Source organism: Homo sapiens, chromosome 2 (genome assembly GCF_000001405.40).
Source record: "Homo sapiens chromosome 2, GRCh38.p14 Primary Assembly".
NCBI classification, from domain to species: Eukaryota; Metazoa; Chordata; class Mammalia; order Primates; family Hominidae; genus Homo; species Homo sapiens.
In genome coordinates this window covers 157428122-157454356 of record NC_000002.12, presented here as the reverse complement: position 1 = coordinate 157454356, position 26235 = coordinate 157428122, and the positions used below count along the sequence as shown (strand labels likewise).

At 37.1% G+C, this 26235-nt stretch overlaps 1 protein-coding gene across 2 annotated transcripts in view, besides 6 other annotated features; it reads left to right on the top strand.

Moving 5' to 3' along the window:
- Positions 413–462: a silencer, noted in NCBI's record as "silent region_12027". NCBI's record gives its function as "represses an Ori minimal core promoter by ATAC-STARR-seq in GM12878 lymphoblastoid cells {active_cell/tissue: GM12878}" and the evidence as "EXISTENCE:reporter gene assay evidence [ECO:0000049][PMID:35858748]".
- Positions 10268–26235, top strand: part of CYTIP (cytohesin 1 interacting protein) — a 29471-nt gene continuing 13503 nt past the window's right edge. Inside the window, exons 1-5 of one of the 2 annotated variants that reach the window (NM_004288.5) lie at positions 10268–10510; positions 19610–19659; positions 19933–19987; positions 23395–23497; positions 23705–23798. In NM_004288.5, the coding sequence (NP_004279.3) occupies positions 10337–10510; positions 19610–19659; positions 19933–19987; positions 23395–23497; positions 23705–23798 (476 nt within the window). In that variant the 5' untranslated portion in view covers positions 10268–10336. Of the gene's footprint in view, positions 10511–13265; positions 15082–19609; positions 19660–19932; positions 19988–23394; positions 23498–23704; positions 23799–26235 lie in introns of those variants that run through there. The other variant, XM_017005386.3, reaches the window with a different exon arrangement.
- Positions 10418–10467: an enhancer, noted in NCBI's record as "active region_16675". NCBI's record gives its function as "activates an Ori minimal core promoter by ATAC-STARR-seq in GM12878 lymphoblastoid cells {active_cell/tissue: GM12878}" and the evidence as "EXISTENCE:reporter gene assay evidence [ECO:0000049][PMID:35858748]".
- Positions 10508–10607: an enhancer, noted in NCBI's record as "active region_16674". NCBI's record gives its function as "activates an Ori minimal core promoter by ATAC-STARR-seq in GM12878 lymphoblastoid cells {active_cell/tissue: GM12878}" and the evidence as "EXISTENCE:reporter gene assay evidence [ECO:0000049][PMID:35858748]".
- Positions 12866–12965: an enhancer, noted in NCBI's record as "active region_16673". NCBI's record gives its function as "activates an Ori minimal core promoter by ATAC-STARR-seq in GM12878 lymphoblastoid cells {active_cell/tissue: GM12878}" and the evidence as "EXISTENCE:reporter gene assay evidence [ECO:0000049][PMID:35858748]".
- Positions 13036–13115: an enhancer, noted in NCBI's record as "active region_16672". NCBI's record gives its function as "activates an Ori minimal core promoter by ATAC-STARR-seq in GM12878 lymphoblastoid cells {active_cell/tissue: GM12878}" and the evidence as "EXISTENCE:reporter gene assay evidence [ECO:0000049][PMID:35858748]".
- Positions 15253–15322: an enhancer, noted in NCBI's record as "active region_16671". NCBI's record gives its function as "activates an Ori minimal core promoter by ATAC-STARR-seq in GM12878 lymphoblastoid cells {active_cell/tissue: GM12878}" and the evidence as "EXISTENCE:reporter gene assay evidence [ECO:0000049][PMID:35858748]".

Genomic DNA, 26235 nt, shown 5'->3' with positions numbered 1-26235 from the left:
TAAGTCAGGCTCTGTGCTAGGTTATGGGCACCCAAAAATGACTGGTATACTATTCCCTGTGTTACATTTGAATCTCAAAACAATTGAGGTTTCATATCTTTTTTTACAAATTGTAAACAGTCAGGAAAAGAAATAAAATAGAGGATTCTGGTTTTCTAAGAAGTTACCTTACTGATCTTCTGTAGTTCCTTCTGCTACACACACACACACACACACACACACACACACACACACACACACACATAACTTTCTAGACTCTGAAAACAAAAGTGGAGAAGGTGAGGATCATTCCAACTGTTGCTTCCTATTGGCCTTTCTCTGCCGATCCACTTACCATTCTCAAAGACAAGTCCCCTATAGGGGGCAGAGCGAATCCAGGCAGCTCCAGAAGGTAAGCAGAGTGGAGGAGTGTCTATTTGGGGAACACTAAGGTGAAAGTTCTCCCTAGAGCTCGTCCATCCACATCTGGATGTGACTTATCACCTTTATTCAATGGGTTGAGTTGGGACCTCCCTAGTCGGTAATATTTGAACTGGGATTTGGAGAGAGAGAGAGAGAAGACAAATGAAACAGGCCAAGGGGAACAGTGTTTTGGGCAGAAGAAGCAGTGAGTGCAAAAGCCCTCAGGAGGAACTGCTTCCTGCTGGAGGAACAGAAGGAAGGCCAGCGTGACCAGGGTGATATGAAGTTGTAGGATCTGCTAGAACATGCAGGACCTTGAAGGATAGGGTAAGGAGTCTGGATTTTATTTGAAGCCCTGGGGAAAATCACCTAGATTTCATGCTGGTGTTTTGTTGTTCCAAGTATTACACAAAATTCCAGTCCCCAAACAGGTTTCTTGCTTTCTAAGAAGTTACTTTCTACAGCCCTGAAGCCCTTGCCGATTCTGTGGGGCTGCCTGTCCACGCCCATTGGGCAGGAGTTAAGATTAAGTAAAAGCCAAGCCCTGAGTGTGACGCAGGATGCTAAGTAAGGGAAGAGGAAGGAACTCTGTCACTTGTTTACCTTGAATTTTGACAGAAGATTTGGATTTCGAAATGGAACTGTGTGTGTGGTAGGGAAGGGTGGGGGTAATAAGTGAATTAGACACTAGAAAACTGCCACTTTAGAAACAGTGGATTTCAAAAGAACACACCAATGCCCTTTACCATCACAAAAATTAATGGCTACTCTCTGCTACTACATTATTTTGTGGAGACTTCAGTAGATCTTTTTGAGGAGGAAAAAAAAAAGACAAAGAAATATGAAAGAATTGCCTAAAAGAATGAAAACAAAATCACATTAAGCAAAATAAAATCTTAGCCTGTAAACCAACACCAAACAGCCAGTGGGTAAACCAATAATTCTCATTGGTAAGCATAAACAGAGGTATGAGGACCTTTAAAACCATAAGACATTATGAACTAAATGTGATTTGCTTTTTAAAATTCTTTGTGAATTGTTGATATTTTTAAAGTTGACCAAATAATATATGAATGCGTACTTACTATAAAAGATTCAAGCCATATATGGCATACACTTTGAACTTTCCTACCCATCTTCTCCCACAATGGTTCAAGAAGTAACCACTATTCTATTAACAGGCTGGTATATATCTTACTAGTCTTTTTTTTAATGTCTGTACATGTTAGTGTACATATATGTATGTGAACTTTAAGAAAAAAGTATAAATGAGATCACACCATACCTATTATTCTACCGTTTTCTCCACTTTGTCTTAAAACTCTTTATCAGCATATGAATGTTTATTGTATACTTTTCAATAGGTGCACAGTATTCCATTGAATTAAATTACCATAAATTATTTAACCAGTTCCCTATTAATGTAAATTTAAAACTCCGGTTTTTTGCAATCACAAACAATGCCACAAGAGTCATTCTTGAATTGTTTTTTGCACATATGGAAGTATTTCCATAGGGTCAATTCTCTCTCTTTTTTTTTTTTTTTTCTTGAGACAGGGTCTTGCTCCATCACCCAGGCTGGAGTGCAGTGGCTCCACCATGGCTCACTGCAACCTCTGCCTCCTGGTCCAAACCATTCTCCTGCCTCAGCCTCCCGAGTAGCTGGGATTACAGGCACCTGCCACCACGCCTGGCTCATTTTTGTATTTTTAGTGGAAATGGGGTTTCACCATGTTGGCAAAGCTGGTCTCGAACTTGTGACCTCAGGTGATCCACCCAACTCGGCCTCCCAAAGTGCTGGGATTACAGGCGTGAGGCCCTGCACCCTGCCCTAAGGGTCAATTCTTAAAAGAAGATTCACTACCATTAACTGTCAAAAGTGTAACACATTACATGTTGCACATTTAAAATTTGGATACTGTCAAATTACCCCACTGTTATTATGTCTTTATTGATTTGTATTCCTACCAAAAGTGTTTAAGTGCTCACTTACTTGCAATTTTGCCAATACTGGATTTCACTAACCTTTATTATTTTTGTTTATTTGGTGAGCAAAAAGTAGTATCTATTTCAGTTTTTGCTTTCCTGATTACTAATTAGGGTGAGTTCCTTTAATAAATCTATCGACAATTTGTATTTCACCTGTAAATTATCTGTTCCTAGCCTTTGCTATTTAAAAATACTTTGTTGAGAAGTATAATTTTAAGAACTCTATTACAACCATTGAGCAATTTTCTGTCACAAATAATTTCTTGCTATCTTTCACTTAGCTTTCACCTGTGAACATTATAGCTTTCATTGAACAGAAGTTTTTCATCTTTACATTGCTAATGCTTTCTGGGCTCTTATGTATTGTTAGGAAAAGCATTCCCAACCTAATTATATTAAATATTCTATATTTTCTGCTATTCTTTTATAGATTTTAAATTATTTTTACTTTTCTAACTCCTTAAGCTGCCTGGAAATTACTATTATATTATCATAAAAAGCTAAGATTTAATTTTTTTCAAATGGGTTCCAGTCTTATTTATTGGAAGATATATTCTTTTCCTAATACATTGAAATAACTTCTTGGAAATATAAATTTCTACATATGCATGTGTATGTTTGGGGAGTCTCTATTCTTTGATAATATTGTATTTATAGACATTCTTTTTATTGACCTTTCCTGTTTGACAATACAGTTCTAACCCATATAATATTAAAGACAGATTTCCCAATGCCCATCCTTACCTCCATCTCTTACCTCTTTTATTTTCAGATTTTTCTTGGCTAGTCTTGTGCACTTTCTCTTTCAGATGAGTGTGAGAACGTGTGTCAAACTTTATAAACAAACAAGCAAGCAAACACACAAAACCTACAGAGATTTTGACTTGCAGTGAACTATTTTAGAACATTTGGGGATAATAAACGTCTTTACAAGATGGGCTCTTCTCATATGAGAACATGGCATACCTTTCCTTAGTCCGGACTCTAGAATTTTCTTCATAACATCTTAAGAATGCTTGCTAAATTCATTTCTGTTTTATGACTTTTTGGCTATTTTGATGTGTCTTTCTCCCATTCTTATAAGTTCTTTTGTAATAAGATAATATTATAGTATAATATATTAACAAATATATAACATAACTGTTATTGTATAAGAAGCTTGTTTCTTTATATTTGTATGTTGTCTTTTGAATGCTATACTTCAGAAAAATTCTCACCAGGTTTTTGTTCTTCATGAATTGTCCTGGATAATCTAGTTATGAAGCCGTATAATCAACAAACTTGACAGTTTCATTGTGTTTCTTTATAAATTCAATATCTTTTGTTTGTGATATACTGTAAAATTGTGAAGAGTGATGATGGTTATGGTCATCGTGGTCTGCCTTTTTACAATAATGAAAACATTTACATTTCAATATTAAGGTTAATGTTGGGTGGGTATTTCTGGTAGATACTCTTCATTATGGTAAGGTATTTTTCCTTCTATCCCCAGCTTACTTGGAATTTTTAAAAGCAAAAATCAATCTTAATAGCTGCGACATCTATTACATTGAATTTAATTTCTTTTTAATGCAGAAATTTAGTGATTTTATTTTATTGCCTAAGGTCATACTCTTTGCCTCAAATAGATTTGAATGAACTCATTTCAGTAAATTATTCCTGCCAGGCGCAGTGGCTCACACCTGTAATCCCAGCACTTTGGGAGGCCGAGGCGGGTGGATTACAAGGTCAGGAGATCGAGACCATCCTGGCTAACAAGGTGAAATCCCGTCTCTACTAAAAATACAAAAAAATTAGCTGGGCGTGGTGGCGGGCGCCTGTAATCCCAGCTACTCGGGAGGCTGAGGCAGGAGAATGGCGTGAACCTGGGAGGCGGAGCTTGCAGTGAGCCGAGATCGCACCATTGCCCTCCAGCCTCGGCGACAGAGCAAGACTCCGTCTCAAATAAATAAATAAATAAATAAAATAAAATAAAACAAATTATTCCTATATTCAAATAGAAACAGCCCTCTTCACTGAAGCCAATTTCTATTGGGTGTGGTGAATACAATTCATTTATTTCATGGTTGTTATGGCAGCAAGATAAAGATATATATGCATCAGGTTAAAAATAAAACTAAATGAAAATTATCTATCCATCTCTCTATATAGACAGGTGGTCTATATGCCTCTATATCTTGATCTTGACGTTTATATTTGATTGGACATATTCTTAAATATTTTATTAATCAAGTAACTTTAAAATAAAAATAGCTACTTTTTAAAAAATACAATAGTCCTCAAAGAAGGAAAATACTCCGGGTAATAAGTGGTCAACCAATTATATATTTCTCTTAAAGCTTTAATCTTTCTTGGAAAGACATCTTCATATTATAGAACAATTCCCTTAGTACAAAAATGTTGTTCATTCCGGTTGAGTTAAACCCTCTCTACCTTTGTCTTAATAGGTTAATGAACAAAAGTTTGTTTTGAATGAATTTTAAACAAATCCAGAATTAGGGTTCCTTTAACTATTGGTTATCCTGGTTACTTTGTGTTTCTTTTTAAAGGGATTTTTGCTGTTAGGGCTTTATCTCTCCAAAAAGGTGATAGTCTGTAGAAATTGGGGAACTCATTAGAGGGCTGACGCTTTTTTTTTTTTTTACAGAGTGATTCAATAGTCTACTGTTCTTCACACTCTATGTGAAGAGTCTTTTCTGTTTTCTATAAGCCTGTATTTTCATTCAGTTTTATTTTTAACCCGATTAAATTATGTGGTATGAATGGGAACACAATATAAAGCAAAGCAATTACAACTACAATGGTTGATGTCAGGGCTGAAAGTCTCAGAATCCCCCCTCTCATACCTTTCTCTTTTTCTTCTTCTTCCCTTATTTCCCAGGACATTCAAAGGATCTCCTTACATTTTCATGAGTACAGTTTTAAAATCATTGCATAGACTACCTCTTAAGACTCAAACAACCCGCATTCACAGAGCATTTTGTATAGATATATGGATAAGTCCACAGGAGAAGCTGCCTTTTAAAACCTATGCACATCCTGACTGCTTCCAGGTGGCCCCAATACTACTGTGTACCTTCAGCATGGACCCTTCAACATGAAGCCATCTCTGCCATATGCCCAACATGCTCAAAGTACTCCCCCTAAACCTGAAATAGATAAAGTTGCAAAAGGAATATTTAAAAGTGCAGTTAATGATGTTTCTAGGTGATAAGTGCACCAAATGAATGTGTCTACTTTTATATCTAAAAGAGTGTTGAAATTATCTTACTGAGTTATTTCATGAAACACTGATCTAGATAATCTATTTAAAGCCCCAATTGAATTTAGTGGCTTAATCCCTTGAATGATATTGCAATCTACCCATAGCTTCATGATTTGATTGAATTAAACTTGAATAAATCAGAAAATTGTTTCCTTGCACTTGTATTAAAAACATAGTAGATTTGATGTATTGCTAGCTATTATTTATATTAGGTTTAAAGTTTTTCTTTGTGTTGTTTTAAATATGCATGTCACAACTCTAAGCCAATATTTGGCTTATATCACACTAGGATTTCTAATATAGGGTCTTTATGACCTTTGTTTCTGTTATTTTCCTTTCCTGAGCTGCCTATTTTTCAGGGCTTGTCCTAGTTACAAATTTTTAGTTTATCCTTTTCTGAAGAAGGCTATTACTCTCTGGGGAGTAGTGTTCATAATTCCAGTGATCCACACTGAGTTGGATGAGGACATCTGTCTACCCAGCTCCATCACTCAAATAAGGTGATACATAGGACAGAGCAGTTTTCACAGTTAGTGGATCCTCATATATGAGAGTAACTTTACTAAATCAAATTTACCTTATATAAATTCAAAGGCACAATATTCAAATATTGTCTATATGACTTTAACACATCTCCTACATCATTCCAGAGACCCAAATAAAAACTTCCCTTCCAAATGAAGGCAAAAGGCCAAAATAAAACAAATTAGCAAACCAAACCACAACAAAACAAAATCCTGTGATGTTCCAGGAAGCCAGATAAAATCTTCTTGTGCAAATAAAGGCAAATAGCAAAAATAAAACAAACAAAAAACTCAACAGCTATCTTAAGATCAGAAAGGCATAGAGGAAGTCTCATTTTTTAAGCAACCAGTTACTCTTCTTCTGTGTCTTACAATAATCCAGAAATTTCACACATTGGCTCTGATGATGGTTTTCAAACACATCTTGATATTCGATGGTAAGGAATTCACATGTATTGTGTAGCCTTTAGACTTCTTCAGGGTGACAAGGGCATCCTTGCTGCACATAGAGGCACTTAGTAATGAATAGGGCTATTCATATAGAATTCATGTTATATCCTTTTTTAGCTTTTCCTTTTGAAGGCTTGTTACTTAAAGCAAAATTCAGTAGATATAGCTTACTTTATACCATGTGCTATTCATGGGCTATTCTGTCTATTTTTTCCTGCAAATTTTTGTTTTAGATATGTGAACACTAAAGTTTAGAGAGTGTATTAGTCAGTTCAAGCCACCATAACCAATACCATAGCATAACAAATACCATAGACTGGGTGGCTTTAAACAATAGAAATTTATTTTCTCACAGTTTTAGATGCTGGGAAGTCCAAGATTGAGGTGCTGGCAGATTCAGTTCCTGGTGAGGGATCTCTTCCTGGCTTGCAGGAGGCTGCCTTCTTGCTGTGTCCTCATATGGTGGAGAGAGAGTCCTCTGCCACCTCTTCCTATGAGGGCACTAATCTTATCAGATCTGAGCCTTACCCTTATGACTTCGTTTAACCTTAAATGATTCATTAACCTCCTTATAGGCCCTATCTCTAAATACAGACACATTGAAGCTCAGGGCTTTAATGTATGAATTTTGGGGGGATACAACTCAGTCCATAGTCTTTAAAGCAGCAGAGCTAGGACTTGAATCTAAGTAGTGTGACACTGGAACCCTGTTGTCAACCCTCTTACAGCTGCCTAAGATTTTCATGGATGATTGTAAGGTTGGCTCAGTTTGTCTTGCAAACCTTTCCACCTTTCTTTCTCTGTTCCGTGCTTTAGGTATATTCCTCTCACCTGACTCTACCAAATCTCCATGTTGTAGGCCCTCAGTGTTCATCTCATTTGTACTAAAGATTAATTCCTTCCAAGGGTATTTGCATATTTATGAACAAAATGTTCCAAATAAGAGCTTTGCCCCACATAACAAATATTAGCTTTTAGAGCATAAAGGCAGATGAGACGTATTTTTAAGAGACTCTGTCCTCATCTCTCAGATCACCCCTTAGTGAAAATTGTAGCACTTTGGAATATGGGCTTGTAGTACATACATTTCCTACCAAATTAATTTTTTTCCTTATTAATACCACAGAACACTATTGTTTAATCATTTTGTTTAATATCTACCTTTCTCTTTTTATTAACATTTATTGAACAATTTTTGTATGTAGGACATAAAGTATACATTTAAAGATAAAAGATGTTCCTTGCTTTCAAGGAAATTGGACATTAGCAGAGAAACAGATTTGTATACAATTAACTATTGCCCTAACTAGAATATATTAAGTCTCAAAAGAAGAATCTAAAAAAATGATATGACATTTCAGAGAATGAAATCAGATAATATAAAATAATTTTTATTTTATTTTATTTTTTTGTGAACAGTGAGATACTCCTGAAATCTTTTGAGTACCTAGGTAGCTTGATCCAATTCATTTCCAGAATCACCTCTCTAAAATAAATGGGAGGCTGAAGGGGAAGAGAGTCTGGTCTATTATAATTTTCCTAAGGTAAATCCTAAAAGAAAAGAGATGTTCTAAACAGTAGAACACCTTTGTAAGTCAAGGATTTGTTGTTTGGAAGTCACATTCCCCTTAAAAGATTACTGTTTCTCCACCCTTTATCACAAGGGACACTTTTGATCATGATATTAGTGACTGGCATGACACAGGCACTGACAGAACAGGGAAATGACCAATAAAAATAGACTAGGTCAAAAATTTGTAATTAACAGGTGTGACCACATTGATATGGGCTGGCTGGATGTCAGAGGTACTTTTGACCCTTGTTTTGTATCCAGGTATCCCATTATTTGAAAAATTTTACTTAACACATTTCATGAGTTAAGTAATAAGTATTTTCCAGTTTCTTAATTGAATGATGATCTATGATTTACATCAGCTTAAGGTCAGTATTACAATGAATTGGTACAATTTTAGTAGTCATTTATAAAAATGGGTGAGTCAGTTGGCCTGAGTGGGTGGCCTTATATTAAGCAAATGTATAATTTCCATTTGGCATTTTAAAATATTAAGAATAAAAATTAAAAATATTTACCTAACTTTATCAGATTCCTAGGGTACAGTGGACTGCTGTCATCCATTAATAGTGATGATTTAATTTATGTGCCTCTTAGCCTGAAAATGTTTTTAAAATCAATCTCTCTCTCTGTCTTCCTAATACACACACACACACACACACACACACACACACACCCCACATATACCTGTATACATATCTGTACATATCTATAAATATAGATTTTACGTGAATATCTTTATAATTGATGTATTCTTTAGTTGCCAAGGTATTTACCACTCCCTTTTGCCTTACACATTTATGTTACTTACCTGGCTTCTGAAAACGTATGTGTTTTTAATTCCTGATTTAGACCGTTATATGTTTGTGGTGATATCACTTTGTCCATGTCAAAATTCAATTCCAGTATAATGAGTCATGCTGTGATAGAGTTTTTAAAATCTATAATTGGCTTCAACTTTTGAAGCACTATTAATTCAGATTTTACTATTTATATTTGGCAATTTCTACTTGAGTTGAATTCATCTTCACTTCCAGTACACACACATTTCATTTTAGTTCAAAGATTTGCTAACTCTTTCAAATGCTAGTATTGATCTTCAGAGATTTTAAAAAGCACATTTGACTTTTTGTGCCATATAAAACTTCTCTTTTTGACTTTTGTTTCGATTCTTCCTTTTACTTGCCTCCCCTACTCCTCCACTGAAACCAGTTCTCTCAAAACTACCTGCCCCCAACCTCAGCCAAAGGAAAAAAAAAAAAAGCATCTGTGATCTTGAGTACTTGGTGATGGTGCCCTTGACCCATATGCACATGCAGGGACCAACAGGCAATGTTCTTGGTGCCACCTTGGTTTGCCTGTTACCTTCCTGCCCACTCCTTTCCTCCCCTGGGACCACTTGCTGATGCTGCCGCAAAGTCTCGTCTAAGAAATGGCAACATTGTGCCCTAAATGTGCTGGCTTTCCCTTCCCATTGTACTTTGTAAAGATCATGGGTAATTTTTGTAAGGACAAAGTAGTAAAAGGACAACCAGAAGAATGCTGAATGGTTACAACCTCAGTGGCAGATATAATGTCTTTTTGATGAACATTAATGATCTAGGGTATACTTCAGGGAAAGTACAGTATTACAAGGACTTCGAGAGAGAACATTATGACCGGCACCTGTAATTCTTGCCCATATTCACAAGAACTGAATGTCCTCGTGTGCTGACTTCTGCATTGCATTGCTAATGTTAAGTAAGAGAATGGATGGGAAACAAATGGTAGCACTTGGGGACATTTTTCTTTCTTCTCTAAAGAAAAAAATGGCAAATGGTGGTGTGAATGCAACTTGCCACAGAACATAAAAGCGTAAGAATTCTGGCTGTTTGAGGTGAAAAAATAAGTTGATTTTTCTTTAAATTGTAAAAATTAGCTCCAGGTTCTCTCAGGAGCTTAAAGAAAAAAAGCTTTGAGAAATGGGAGTGAATAGCAAGATAGGGTTTGTGTAACAAGTTCCTCAAACCACAGAGGTCACATGGGCTCTTTCTGCTTTGCTACTTTTGATTACTTGTCACAGTTGTACTTTTAGCTTCCCCCATCCTGCAAGGCCACTCAACCATGTGCTAGCTGGAGTGATCTTTATTCACAATGTCTTTACAAAGGCTCCTGCAACACAGCAGCAATGGCAATTTGGCGGACTTCTGCGCTGGGCCAGCGTATAGCTCTTACTCCACACTCACCGGCAGCCTTACGATGGACGATAATAGAAGGATTCAAATGCTAGCAGACACGGTGGCTACTCTGCCTCGGGGACGAAAGCAGGTATGATTGCTATTTTGTACCCTTTAGAGTGTTCACATTCTCTTGAGGGCAGAGTGATATGTTTGTCTGACTTCATACTAATGGTGATATTTTAGAGGCTTTGGAATTACTGGCTGATTATTATGGGTGAAGGAGGTGAGATGCTCAGGGAGCTAGGTGAACCAGTCCAAAGATTTGAGACCACAATCAAACTTTTTTTTCAAGGCAAAAATTAAGATTGTTTTTCTTATTTGAAGAAGTGCTCAGGTAAAATAAACATCATTAAGCATAAAAAACTTGAAGATGGTTTATATAGATACAACCAGTATGAGAATTAATTCTCTTTTCCCCATTGTGTCTCCACTGATTCTTTCCCTTCCATCCTTACTTGCAGTCCTTGATGGTCATTTCAGTTCATAATCAAATAAGAAATACTTTTTCTGAGGACAAATTTTGTTGACTAATTATCTTCAGCTCTGGGTTGCTGGCACATACCTCAGGCTATTGGAAAGTAAGATTTTTTTTTTTTGGATAGATGAGTGCCAGATTGAATATCAGCTCACCACTTAGTGTCTGTGGGATCTTGAGCAAGCCACTTGCCTCTCTAAGCTTCAGTTTTGTTTTTTCTAAAATGGAGTTAATAATAGAACCACCCTTATTGGGTTCTTATGTTGGTTAAATAAGGAACTGTGCAGTGCCTAACACAGTGACTGGCATTCAGTGTGTGTTTATTAAATGCTAGATTATGCCATTTTAATATTTTTATTGCAAAGTTTGTCTCTAGGGATGAAAACTCATTTGGAAAAATCTATGTCTAACTGAATTTATTTTGATTTTTTCGTTCTTCAATTTCTAACATGTAAAAATTTTTTTTTAACCATAATACCTCTTCAGGATTTTTTTTAAACAACTTGCTCTAAATCCCCAGGTACATATTTGAATTTCGATGTAGCATTTCTACAGAAAATATTTAGAATTGCCCTAGAGCAAGAATTTTTGCGCTTAAGTCTTGCATGTACAATCATGTGCTTCTCGTAAGCCTTCTAAATTCAGGATTAGAGAGGTATGGCATAGTGGGAGAGACATGATCTTTTTTCAGTGATGTATAATAGCTGATTCCTTGGTATTTTTCGGAGTGAAGATAAGGGCACAATTTTCCATGATTTGGATTATTGATTGTTCTCAATCTAAAGTGCTTTTATGATACAAAGTTTAATGTAATGATGAACATTTTATCAATCTACAACCTGTCTGAAGATAAAGCAACATGAGAAATGCTGACATCTTTTTTCAGTTTTCAGATATAAAGCAGTCAGATTTTCTTTATATTTGCCATGACACTATCACACCAACTATGGTTCACTTGATTAGGCTATGATTTTTTTTTTTTTTTTTGCTGGAGACTGTGGGTACTTTTTCAATCAGGGTGGGAACTTTCCACCCTCTATGTCCTCCATACCTGCAACCTTACTCATTTGATCTACTCTCTAGCCCATGCAATTCAATGCAACAGATGGTTTCTGAGCACCTACAAGGAGACAGACATCATGCTAAGTGTAGGAGGTAAAAAGACGAGAAGGGAATGTTTCCTACCCATATACTGTTTACAATTCAGTAAGCAGAAAGAATGGGTTTTCTGCAAAGTAAAACAACATGAATACTCTCATCGAAGTGAAACATCTGTAAATATAGCCTTGGAAATAGATATTCGAGATATTGAAGGGTATTCCAGATATTGAAGGGTATTCCAGAGCAAGGGAGAAATTGAAGCTGAGGCATAGATCCTGGTGCCTGGAGGACTTTTTTGTGTAACAACACAATATTAAGTGTGTCAGGAGAACCTGGTTAGTGTGTAGGAGGTGAGAGGAGATCTCAGCGCTGGGCTGCTTTACAGAACACTTGGACAACTTCCCCTGAAAAAGCCGGCACGAGGGCCACTGAACGTGTTTGAGAAGTAGAGGATTTCAGGAACCTTATTGTAGAAATGTAGTGGATTAGTGAGTAGAGACTAGTGGTGAGGGAGGAACTTTTGCAGTAGTTGGAGAAAGAGGAAATGGGGGAACAGAAAGGAGACTGAAAGGCTTTAATATGAAAGGGACTGAAGACGGAGGAGTCACATCTGGTTTTAAGCCAGAGTGAAGATAGCGTGAACTGAAAGAAGGCAATCAGTAGGAGAGGCTGATTATCAGAGGAGGATAAAGAGAGGGATTTTGGCATATGAAATACACGTGTGTGTGTGTGTGTGTGTGTGTGTGTGTGTGTGTATGTGCATATATACATGTACACATATGCACACAGGCACACACACATCCCCATACTAATTAATTTATGCAGATGTTCTCATCTTTTCTAGGTCTTCTCATTCCCCTTCTCTCAAATTCTTTCATGTGGTAGACTTTCCATATTCAAACAGCTTTTTCTTACTGTTGTGAGAATTGCTTTAAAAAATAGCAAAACAAAACTTCTTGTACATGATAGTTCTGATTCCGTACAATTATCATCAATGAGACTTGATGCAAGTTTATCCCAACATTTCACAATCTTCCAAATGGATGTTCATTTCCTTTAACTGGTTTTTAGAGAATAATCACCCATTTGGCACTGACTAAATTGCAGGCAACAAGATCCTTGTGAGGCAATCACATGAGCAGGTGTTTCTCTGCCTACTGTTATTTTCAACACTTTCAGGGCTGACGTCAACAGCTCATACTTCTTGTTGTTGTTGGCTTTGGTTTCTGCAAAGCTATATCTGGTTAGCTTGTAGTTTCAAATTATTAGTCTTCAGAATCAATTGGGTGTTTACATTCAGAATTATTTAAAGATAGATTTCTCTGTGTGCATATTATCTCACTACCTGTACTGATAGGAAGTGTCAGACACCCCAGTATGGCTTCTACTTGTGAACACAGTTTTAGGACAAAAAAAAAAAATCTTTGCAATGGAAAGCTCGGTAGGAAGGAGACAGGAGGAATTAAGGACAGTCTCTATCAATGATGTCAAAGAAGTAGTGATTGTCTTACCACCCACTCTCATAAATGTAGTACGTTGCTTTTGGAAAGCAGTTTTTACAGAATGCTATAGTGAGAACCAGGGACCTGACAAACAAGTCCACAAACTTCAGTGGTACCACAGACTGACTCTCTTTTCCTAATTTTCTTTTAGTTATCACATTATTGCTAAATAGGCAACTTCTGGCAGGCTGATTTCATCTATAAGTTCAGATAGGGAATGTGTGCTCTGCTCTGGGATGTGTACACTGCTGGGCTGGGCTCTGCCCTGCAGGAGCTTTCACGGTGTGTCCGGCAGCACACCCATCAGGTGCCGTAACTCCCAATTGTCCTGAACTACACCAAAGGATTTTAATCACCTCATGACAATTTTAGGTAGAAAACTGTGCTAATTTCACTAGAAAAGACTTTGAAAATTATTCTTTAATCTGTATTGTGGCATGCATGGTCAATATCCAATAATTTTTCTTGAAGAGTCTGTGAGCCCACCATCAGACCTTACTTGGAAATGGCGGTATTGTATTTCGGTTTCTCCGGGCACTTAACGTCAGGAAATTAAGTTCAGCTCCATTATTTTGTTGCATCTTTGAATAGTCTGTGGAGCGTTGATATCCTAATGCTCCTTATTTAAAAGTGGGTGGGAGTTGCATGGAAGAATTGGGGAGTGAGGCAGGGGACTGGAAAGGGAGCAGAGCACATAATTTTGGGGCCTTTGAAACAAGTAACAGTGACAAAAAACCTCACTCTGGAATCAGTAACCTCTCCCCCGCACCCTCCCCAACACTTTCAGGAGATGAGTATATAGAGTGGGGACCAGGAGGAAGTAACCTCTGTAACCCAGAAGTGGCTAAAGTGTTGAACTTTGAGCTTCTCTAAGGAGAGCTGGCTATCTGGCTGAGCTGCCAAGTACTCCTGTCTTTCAGAAATTGACAGCTGAAGTATTTGGTCTTGGTTTCCCACTGAAGAGGAATGTGTAGAATCACTGCAGAGCAGAAGAAATTAAATTTTGAATATTAATGCCTGATCTTTTAAGTTATCTGACTAAAAACAGAAGAGTGATCATAAGCCCAACCCTAGGTATCAGTGTATTATGGCTAGCAAGGAGTTAAGAAGCTTTGTCTATTCAGCAGTCATAATTGAATGTGTAGTTTGCAAGCCTGCCAAATTGCTAAACCTAGATTTCTCATATTAGATAATGTGTAATAAAAGACAGCTGTTGCCAGCATATGCTGTGAATTGCACACCAGTTCCTCATTCATGATTTTTGGCGCCATCACTACAACCCTTAGAAAAGGCTCTGACTGGAGGGCTGTCTGGGGAACATAGACCCCACTGGTCAGATCCTTGAATAAGGCTGCTCGCCCTAGGGAAAGCGGGGCAGGAAAGACTTTTTTTTTTTTTCAAAGTGCAAAACCCTTGATAAGACCTTAGACACACTTCATTTCACTTTAGGCAGGTAGTTTGGTGTGTGAGCTAGTTTCGAACCCTGGGAACATTCCTTTCCACATCGCCTGAGTCTGACAGCCCGGATCAAAAACAAGCAGGCTTTGTGTCAAGACGTGGCACGTGTCAGAGAATTTGACGGTACTTAATTTATTTAAATTGTTTTTTGTTTAAGTGTTAGATGCTTGAAACAGCCTCTTAGCTAATACCGAATGGAAACTAATTTGTAATTTGACTTAATCTGACTTTTGGTGTTGCTGATAACCCAAATTAGTCAGTCCACAGGAACTGAAAATCTGCTATGCTTCTCATGTTGTGCTAGACAAATATTTTCATCTTTAACTAGTCAATTAGCTAGATAGAAAGGTTAGAAGTAGAGTGGTGGGGGAAATATCTATAGAGGCTTCAGGTCTGTCCTGTGGTTTAAAAGATTTTACATTTGAATCTATCCAGAATGACTTTTGATTCAAAAGACCGATTGGATGAAATCTTGAAGTTCCTAATAGATGCACTGATTTCCGGCATACTAAAAGGGTATTTAAAATTGACAAGGCTCAAAATTTTACTAATAATTTATTAATTCTTGCCACCATTCATCCACTTAGCAGCTATGTACTAAGGCACTACTATCTTTGTTTTCTGTTAGTACTTTTTCTGCATTTCTTGTTTCGGATTGAATTTTTTTTTTTGTTCTTGTCTGTTTTCTTTCATTTAAAATTTTTTGGTTTTTAAAATTTGTACTTATTCAGTTGATATATAATCATACATACTCATGGTATACATAGTGATGTTTTGATACGTGGAATGTACAGTGATCAGATCAGAGTAATTAGCATATCCATCACCTCCCTCACACAATGATCATTTCTTCATTTTGGGACTGTTGAATATCCTCCTTCTAACTATTTGAAACTAGTACATGATATACTATTGTTAACTATAGTTAGCCTACAGTATAGAGCACTAGAACTTATTCTTCCTATCTAGCTGTAATTTTTTATCCTTTAACAAGTGTGTCCCTATCCATTTCTTCCCCCAACCCTTCCCAGCCTCTAGTATCCTCTGTTCTACTTTTTACTTCTATGAGATCAACTTTTTTTAGCTTCCACATATGAGTGAGAACATGTGGTGTTTAACTTTCTATTCCTGGCTTATCTCACTTAACATAATGTCTTCCAGTTCAATCCATGTTGCTGTGAATGACAGGATTTCATTCTTTTTTATGGCTGAATTGTATTCCATGGTGTATATATACCACATTTTCTTTATCCATTCATCTGTTGTTGGACACCTAGGCTGATGCCATCTCTTGGCTATTGTGAATAGTGCTGTAATAAACATGGGAGTGCAGATGTCTCTTCGATATAATGATTTCCTTTCCTTTGGATGAATTCCCAGTAGTGGGATTGCGGGATCATATGGTAGTTCTATTTGTAGTTGTTTGAGGGACCTCCATACTGTTCTCCATAGTGGCTGTACTAATTTACATTCCCACTAACAGTGTATGAAAGTTCCCTTTTCTCCTTATCCTCACCAGCATTTATTATTTATTGTCATTTTGATCATAGCTATCCTAACTGGTGTGAGATGATACCTCATTGTGGTTTTAATTTCCATTACCCCAATGATGAGTGATATTGAGCATTTTTTCATATATTTGTTAGCCATTTGTATGTCTTCTTTTTCTTCCTTTCTTTTTTTTTTTTCTTTTTTTTTTTGAGATGGAGTCTCACTCTGTCGCCAGGCTGGAGTGCAATGGCATGATCTCAGCTCACTGCAACCTCCGCCGCCCGGGTTGAAGCGATTCTTCCAACTCAGCTTCCCTAGTATCTGGGATTACAGGCACCTGCCATCATGCCTGGCTAATTTTTGTATTTTTGTAGAGACGGGGTTTTACCATGTTGGCCAGGCTGATCTTGAACTCCTGAGCTCAGTTGATCCACCCTCCTTGGCCTCCCAAAGTGCTGGGATTACAGGTGTGAGCCACCATGCCCAGTCTTGTATAGCTTCCTTTGAGGAACGTCTGTTCAGATCATTTGCCCATTTTTAAATTTTTTTTTTTCTGTTGAGGTATTTTAGTTCATTATATATTCTGGATATATAAATGAGTAGTTTGCAAATATTTCCTTCCATTCCACAGGTAGTCTTTTCACTCTGTTAATTGTTTGCTGTGCAGAATCTTTTTAGTTTAATATAACCCCATTAGTTTATTTTTGCTTTTGTTGCCTGTTTTTTGAAGGTCTTATTCATAAAATTTTTTCCCAATCCAATATGCTAAAGCCTTTCCCCTATGTTTTATTCCAGTAGTTTTATTGTCTCAGGTTTTACATGAAGGTTTTGATCCATTTACTTATTTTCAGTTGATTTCTGTATAGAGTGAGAGGTATGGTCTAGTTTCTTTCTTCTGCATATGGATATACAGTTGTCTGTTTTCTTTCATTTTTAAATCTTGCTACATATTTAAGATTTTTAAATTTTACTTTATGTATTTTAGTGATTATCCTTGAGTTTTTCCTATGATATTGAATTTAATAAAGGACAATGTTGAAGACTATCTTTACATATTTCTCCTGAACGTGAATATTTAATGTGGCTCTTCAACCATCTCAGTTGCTTCCATTTTCGTTTAGTAGTTTATTTATTTTTATCTATTTCTCCATTTTTAAGTTTCCATTCTATTCCAGGCCCTGTGTTGGGCATTGGGGCAGAAAGTAAAACAAATAACATTCCCCAAGAGGTCCAAATCACACAGATGATTATGTACAGATGTGAAGTATTTGATCCAGTATGCATTTCATATAAATATATACATATATGTATACATATATATATAGCTCTCTCTATATGGATATATGAATAATATGATGAATACTGATAGCAAGAGTAATACCTTAAAAATATAAGCCCTTATTTATAGAGGTATAAGAAACTTTTATAAAAAGAATAAAAAAGCCCTAGTTATCATTACGTAATTTGGCTTAAGGGCGGAAAACAAGCAGCTGAAGATAATAAAAATAGATTAAGAAAATATGAGTACAATATAAGGGAGAGACTGAGAATGCTTGGAAATATCAAGTTTGTGGCTCTCTTCTGCAAGGAAGCCCACTAACATAGATGAATAGTCCCTATCCTTGGTAACGGTACATACGAGGTACAAAATCAGGTTACAACAAACCATACCAATCCTTGTAGGCATTCCACAGTTAGTGCTTATAAATTGAAAAGAGATACTTTTTAGCAAGACTAGAGAATCTTTTTGGGTCTGAGCAATTTATTTCAGTCTCCATTGCGATATAAGTGAGTTGAAGCCCAGAACTAACAAAAGAGGAAAATATAATTAATTTACAGCAAATTGGTAAGAAGAGACCACCTCTCCATTACGTTAAGTTTATGGACTGGTGGCTGAATTCTTAACACTGGTCCATTCCAGGAAATTTGTGAAAATGCTGGCATTTGGTACCTGGTAATTCAAAATTCCTACAGTGATGTAGGCTTCACTCCTAATGAATGTCTTAATAAGCATTTCATTTGTGTAACTTGTCACATAAGCATTAATATCTCCTACATATTTTCCCCCTTCTAGTTTTCATCCTTTACTTATTTTATTTTGCTTTGTCTGGACTGACTATGCATTGATCTCTTGATATTTTATGTGTTCATTTATATATGACAACCATTTCAGGTTGACAATTAAAAACCATGGGTTAGCTAGTAGCTTATGTTTTGGGCCCTTGAAGCAACATTTGAGAATAGGGCTAATAAACATTTCCTGAACAAAGAAACAAACCGACCAAAAAAACACAAAAACCTGCTGCAATTTTCCTAAAAAATAAGTTGTCACCTTTTGTTGATGCTGCTTCTGTTTACAGTGGTAGAATGTGTCCTGAAAGCTTATGTTTATATGATCTTTTCCAAAAGTGCAGAGGAATGAAGGTGATATTATTTATACCATTGATACTATTCTGAGGTTTCTTTCCTTTCTTGGCTGGAAATTTCACGTTAGTCTTCCAAAACTATTACAAAAATAAATCATAAGCAGAAATGAGGTTTTGAGTTCCTGGTTTTACCTGAATTGTGTGTGTGAGTTGGTTGTTTAGAGATTATTTTATCCTACTAAAAACAGTAACGTATTGAATTATTATAGTAAACACTGTCATTTCATCATCATCTCCAAAAACTATAAAGTATTTGGGTTTCATATGCCATTCTAAGTATGCTATTTTTCTTTGGATTTCAGTGTGATTACAAATTGCTATGGTTAATCTTTCAGAGGCTGTTTTAAATACAGACCAGAGAGGAAGTTCTCTTTGGAAGCTTTGGAGTTTTGCCACATTATTTTAACTCTTTTGCCACATTGTATTACTATCTAAACCTCTTTCAATCTTTTAACTGGAATGCCTAGAATCCTGTCTCCCTACTCTCCTCTGCTATCACTAGAGAATGTAGAGAATGGAAATGGCTGCCTTTATGCAACAATTTCCCAGGAGCTGGGCCAAAGAAGGTGGTAAAGAACAGGTTGTGTGTGTGTGTGTGTGTGTGTGTGTGTGTGTGTGTGTGTGTGTGTGTGAGAGAGAGAGAGAGAGAGAGAGAGAGAGAGAGAGAGATTTAGAACATTTTACAGTGTATCTTGAAGACCCTGGGATAACTATATGTCTTTTGTGTTTTTCAGCTTGCTTTGACCAGATCAAGTTCTTTAAGTGACTTTTCCTGGTCTCAAAGGTAAAGAGATTGAATTATTTTTTGTCTCTCCCAAAATATTTAGGAACATAGCTCTCCAGACTGTTTTTTCCTCTCTCTTCCTCTCTCTCTCTCTCTCTCTCTACGCACACACACAGACGCACACACACAGACACACACACAGAATCTTACATACTACAATTTACATAAATGTCAGTTATTTTTAATTGTGACAGTTATTTTTAATGATAGATCTGTGCCAAATGTGATACTTTAATTTTCATGCAGTTTCTTTTTTAAACATTTTTATTACAGAAAGCTTGTTACTGTGGAGAAGCAGGATAATGAAACATTTGGATTTGAAATTCAGGTGGGCAATTTTCACATTTTCTAGACTTCCAAGGAAGAAAGTGGCACCGGTAGTGTCATGTTATGTGCAAAGAAAAAATGAAGTTAGGATTAGAGAATGATGGAGCCTATGACTTTTATTCAGTGTGTGGCTGTTTGGGGGTAGTTTTTCAGTGTGTTGAGTACTATTAAGGAAAGAAAACATTGAAGATGATAACAAAACCTCTGCGATATGCTCAGCAGTTTGTGCTTAGTTGCTTCAGTCTTCCCTTAAGTCCCAGACTGATCAGCTAGGTTGGTATCAGCTAGGTCTTAGATAAGAGAGTGAAATACATTTTACAGATGTGTACTTGATATATTTGCATGTGTTTTGTATAATCATATTGTTATACTGTGTATCAGATTTTAAGTATTTACTTTGGCATTCAAGAGACACTCGAAAGACTATACATCTGTGTATATAGAATGCATATATTCATGGATAGCTCCTGGTATGTTTTGCAACTAGAGTTCATATTGTACATAATGAGCAATTTGTAGCTTTTTTTCCTAATGACAATGCTTTATAATTGTTATTTGAAACACTTGAGAACATTTGGCTCTACTTGCAGATTGCCTCATGCTGTAGGAAATTTTTAAGTCTTTATAAGTTTCAGCATAATTGCCTAAGAATTTCATTGCTTATTAGCTGTCTGCTTTTTCATGAGCACATTTGTAAAATGGGTGAGGTAGGTCAAATGAAGTCTAACCCAATTAAGTGCAACAGTAGTAGCTTAAGCATTTCTGTTTTTTTTTTCCATAGTACGTTTGCATGTCTTTTGGATGTGTTTTGCATAATCATATTCTTACACTCTATATCAGATTTTAGATCTTAGCTTTACTGCTGCTTTCAGAAAACTCTGGTGTGATATCAGCCCCACAATTGGAAAGTCAGTGTTTATTTTAAGATTAGGAACAGGAAACTGCTAAGAAAAACATGTTTTATGAGTAAAGAAACAAAATGGAACTTTAGCTGCAATGAAGACAGAGAAGGCACTTTGAAAAGAGGATCACTTCTACTTTCCTAACTCCTGTACTTTTAAATTTGGAGGAATCTGTAATTCACCACAGTAACTGGTGAAATCTATAGGTTTTAGAAGCATAGTGCTCCCTCTTACTCCCCGGTCATATGAACTACTCCCTATTCTGTTGTAGAGACACTGCTTTTTGTCACTGCTTCTTTTTAAAGGAAAATTATCCTCAAGGATGTGCAGCAGTGGCTACTGAAAACTGGATAAACGACTACTCACCTTTCTTTATTTTTCTTATACTGCCATAATAATGTCACTACTTTCTTAAGTTTTTCTCCCATACCATAAACACTTATTCTCCGTGGAGCAAGAGTCAAAACTATGTCAGGCCACAACACCACTGAACTTTTGTAGATCAACATGAACTAATGGCACCTCTAAATGGCAGCATGTAGGTGTTATCTCAGTGATGCAGGAACCCACACTCCTGTAAATTCCCTCTGGTATATGCTCTCCATTGTCAAATACACACCATAATCTATTCCCTAGTACTCATCAGATTTGCAGCAGTTAACAAATAGGAGACATGCTTCTGGGAACTTTTTGAAAATCAGATAGAACCTCATGTACCCATATTGTGCATGCAGTGTGAGTACATGTTTGGGATGTGGCCTACTAGAGGAATGACACTTTGGAAGAGACCAGATCCATGGTTCTCCATGGGAGCTAGTTTTATGCTGCTTATCAGAATCGTGCAGCCCAATAGGAATGCAGACTTTGGACTCATGCACACCTGAATTCATATCCTCCTAATGCCTTATGGGGTCCTTAGGAGTTTTAAATGAAATAATACATGCAATGTACCTAGTGATGTGCCTTACCAATAGAAGATCCACAAATGACAGGTGTTAGAATGAATGTCACTGGGCATGAGAAAGGACAATGAGATCTTTGTGTCTCTAAGAAATGCAGGTGATCATTGTGTCACTGATCCCTTAATGGGAGCTAGAAGACTGGGTAAGAGAAAAAAGCATCCAATTAATACTTTCTGTAGCTTTGGGGTTTCTGTTTTTTTCTATTTCTAACTACCATATTTTACACCCAATGTGAACATATATGGAGGTGCCAGCTACATAAATCAACATGTTTCTACTGCACTGTACTTACTTTGATCTCTGGGAATGGAGGGTAGAGTCTCACTGCTAATGAGAATTGTTAGAACAGTGGTTTCCCAAAGGAGTGTCAGTTGTATATTTTATTCATGTACCACATGAACTAGATCAGTCTTTCATCTCCAGAAGGGTCTAGGCTATACTGAGAAGACCCCTGGCAGGAAAGCTGTCAATGAAGTTTCTGACATAGATGGGAACATAGTGCATGATCTTTTAAAGTCCCTTCTACCTTTAAGATATGGGGATTCTAAGTGCCTTATAGATTAGATAGAAGTCCTTTAGAGGTGAACAGACCCAAGTTTCTAGAAGTTGCTTGCATGTGGCTGACTTGTGATGCCTCAGGGATTATTGAATAAGAAAGAATGAACATCAGACATCAATTTTTTCACAAGGAAGTACTACTTTAATGTAGCTTAATTTTAGGAATCAGATGTTTAAAAGACGTACTCTACTCAGAACACTGATTTTGCTTCTAAGTGGAACTAGACTTCATAATTTAAATGTGTGAAAAAAAGAAAATTATATTTGTTATAGGTCATTGGGACACTATATCTAGCAAACATTTATTCAGTGTTTTGGTATAATTAAAAATAAAAAAACCCACCACCACCAAACTACTTGTGCCTAATTGAGGCAAGAGTTGAAGCTTAACTTTTTCTAATTTAGTTGGGTGACTAATGAACCGGTGAGGATTCAGGACAGGCATACCAGAGGGTGCTCAGAAATGAAGGTAATTGAGTCAATTATAGTACTTTTGAATAAATGCAGGGCAGATTGTCATTATGTGCAGAACTCTGATTTAAAATAATCATTGTTGGCATGTCTCCTTGCTGCATGTGTACAATTTCATACTCCTATAATGAGTGTTTTAGCTTGGGAGAACCACTTAGGGATTTTTCTCATTGCACTTGGCCATCGTTGTTTTATCCCATTGGGAAATGAGAAACTCAATTTTTAAAAATAAATCGTGATAGCATCAGGTGATATCTTGGGCTTGAAAATATAAAATCTTGAGCCACTCTCATTTCACTTTCTTTCTCATGACAGATGTCTTTATGAATGGAGTTGGCTACAGATTGTCTGGTAGAATTGCAAAATTGATACCTTGATTTAGTTTATAGTGGAAATCCTTTGTCCTTTGAACTTACCTATTATACTGCTTAATGATAATTGACATCATTTTAAATTTTGGCAAATAGATGTTGAGGTTGTTAAATAGTAACTATATATCATCTTAATTTTTACAGTCTTACAGGCCCCAGAATCAGAATGCCTGCTCCTCGGAAATGTTCACTTTGATATGCAAAATACAGGAGGACAGCCCAGCTCACTGTGCTGGCCTGCAAGCTGGTAACTTAAATTTTTGCTCATGTTAGGAATCATTTAAATGGAAAGAAAATAAAATGTTTTGAGAGTGAAGGTCAGGATGTATTTGTTGCTTTGAGTTTTCTTGGCTCCTTTATGTTTTTAAGACTTGGAGCTGCTTGTTTCATTTGCATGTCAGGAGGGATTATTTAACTAACCAACATAACACTCATTTTTCTTGGCATCTCCCAGGTGATGTCCTTGCAAATATCAATGGTGTGAGCACAGAAGGTTTTACCTACAAACAAGTCGTTGACCTGATCAGATCGTCCGGAAACCTGCTAACGTAACTATCTGTCTAGTTCCCGTGGGGCTTCAAAATGTTATGTTTTCTCATAAAGCCTGATGAGTGAATAAATAGGCCTTTTGTTCAGCATTACAAGACGGAGTGAGGCAGTGCACCGGAGCTTTAGAGTGGGGTACAAACATTATCAGTTCCTTTTGTTTCTCAAGATTCCTCACACTTGAACATACTGTCAACATCTGAAGTCAGAGGACATCAATAGCCCAAACGTCTGTGTGGGAAGGATGGCCTTTACAAATGTATTTTTTTAATGTCAAATTCAATTAAACTGGCACACATTCTCTTTAAACTGGGAAGAACTGATCCAATTTTCATGGTTGATATAATCCTGTAGCTAAAACAAATCAAAGGTCAGAAGGGCTGAGTTTTTCCTCTTATGTGACAAGCCACCTGTTTTTCTCTTCTAGTGTTCCATTTGGAAGGAAGAATAGTCTGTTCAACCCTCCCCACCCTGAAACACACATACTCACACCACATGTTCCAAATGTTCCAAACTTCTTTTTTTTTTTTTTTTTTTTGAGACGGAGTCTCGCTCTGTCGCCCTGGATGGAGTGCAGTGGCGCGATCTTGGCTCACTGCAAGCTCTGCCTCCCAGGTTCACGCCATTCTCCTGCCTCAGCCTCCCTAGTAGCTGGGACTACAGGCGCCCACCACCATGCCCGGCTAATTTTTTGTATTTTTAGTAGAGACGGGGTTTCATCGTGTTAGCCAGGATGGTCTCAATCTCCTGACCTCATGATCCACCCGCCTCCGCCTCCCAAAGTGCTGGGATTACAGGCATGAGCCACCGCCCCTGGCCCCAAACTTCTTAATAGAACACTGGCTTTCCCAATTAGAGGTTTGACTGATTTTTCTACCATAACAATACTAGCACCTAATAAAATCTTATTAGGATAGTTAAATGATGAAATTCGCTCATTCATTAAAATCATATTTATTGAGCAAATACTATGTTTCCAGCTCTGTGATAGGCTCAGGAGAGACGAAGATAAAGACTCTCTTAGTACGTTAATAGTTATGGAAGGAAATGGCTCAGAAAAGCCTGAAATTTAAGTAATGTGTATATTTCAGTTATTGATAACTACTATGAGAAAAGTGCAAAACAGCAATGGCCTGTCATGCTAGGTAAGAAGGCTGCTAGTTTGGCTTAGATGTGTAAAGTGGTCTTTTCTAGGGAGGCGATATTTGAGTTGAGATCTAAATGAAGAGAAGGATGGTCAAATGAACTCCTCGTAAGAGCACTTCAGGCAAAGAGAGAGGTCTCTGAGTGCTCACAATGGGCTTGGCATGTACAAGGGAAAGAGAAAAAGACAGTATAATTGGTATTTGATGGATTAGAGAGGGTATAATAAGAAATGAAGCCAGAGAGTTGGCCTGGGGGCAGACCATGGATCTCTTTGGACATGCCAACAAGTTTGGGTTTTATTCTGATTGAGGTGGGTCATATATTGTGTCATTTATTCTTCACAGCCACCCATGAGGTTAATTTTATTCCTATTTATAGATGAAGTGCCTGAAGCTTAGAGGGGGCTTAGTTAAGGTCACATAACTGGTAAGTGATAGGGCTGGGGTTTGACCACCTGCTCTGGATGCCAGGATCTGTCCTTTTCAGCTACAGCTGCTCCTTGGAAGCTGCCAGTAGAAAATCTGCTGGATGCTTTTCAGTGATTCTGGTGTAAAACTTCAAAGGATGCTTTGGGTGTTTGTGAGAGCAGATTTGAAAGATGGTGGTGGTAACAAATTGGGTCCAACTCTATAGGTCCTGTGAGTTCAGGGTAAAGGATGAGGTGCTTTTGCTCTAGAGAACCCTGGATCCAAAGGAGAGGAACCGTGCAGAGTCTGAGGGGAACTGCTGGTAGTTAGAGTCAGAAAGCATGTTCCACATGGGTGAAGAGGGTAGACCACAGGTAAATAGGGGTTGTAGATGGAGGTAACTGTTGGAAATCCGGGAAAATGGGAGACAGTCTGTACAAATACTGAGGAAAATGGCCAAATCAATGGTTGCAGTTTTGCCCATACACATCTATTGCTTCAGCAGGTCAAACTGACATTCAATCCCAATGAAACAGATTCATATGGATTCCCACTATTTCTCAGAGAGTCAAGATCACCTTAAGGAGAAAACAGACAGTATATAGCTTGCTACCACCTGATTATTCCTGGCATGATGCTATTAGAAGTAGAAGACTGATCTCCACATTTAATGCTTTTACCATGCCTTGAAAAATTCCTTGCATCTTTATAGAGAGGTACAGCTTAATTACAAGAAGGAACTTGAACCAACACTTTAAAAATTGGTGTGTGATTCACAAATGAAATTTTTAAATCATATTCAGATTGATGGTTTAGTAGTCAAAATAAAAGCCTTTAACTTGAACACACAGAACAAATCAAATCACTCAGAATAGAACAAGTATTT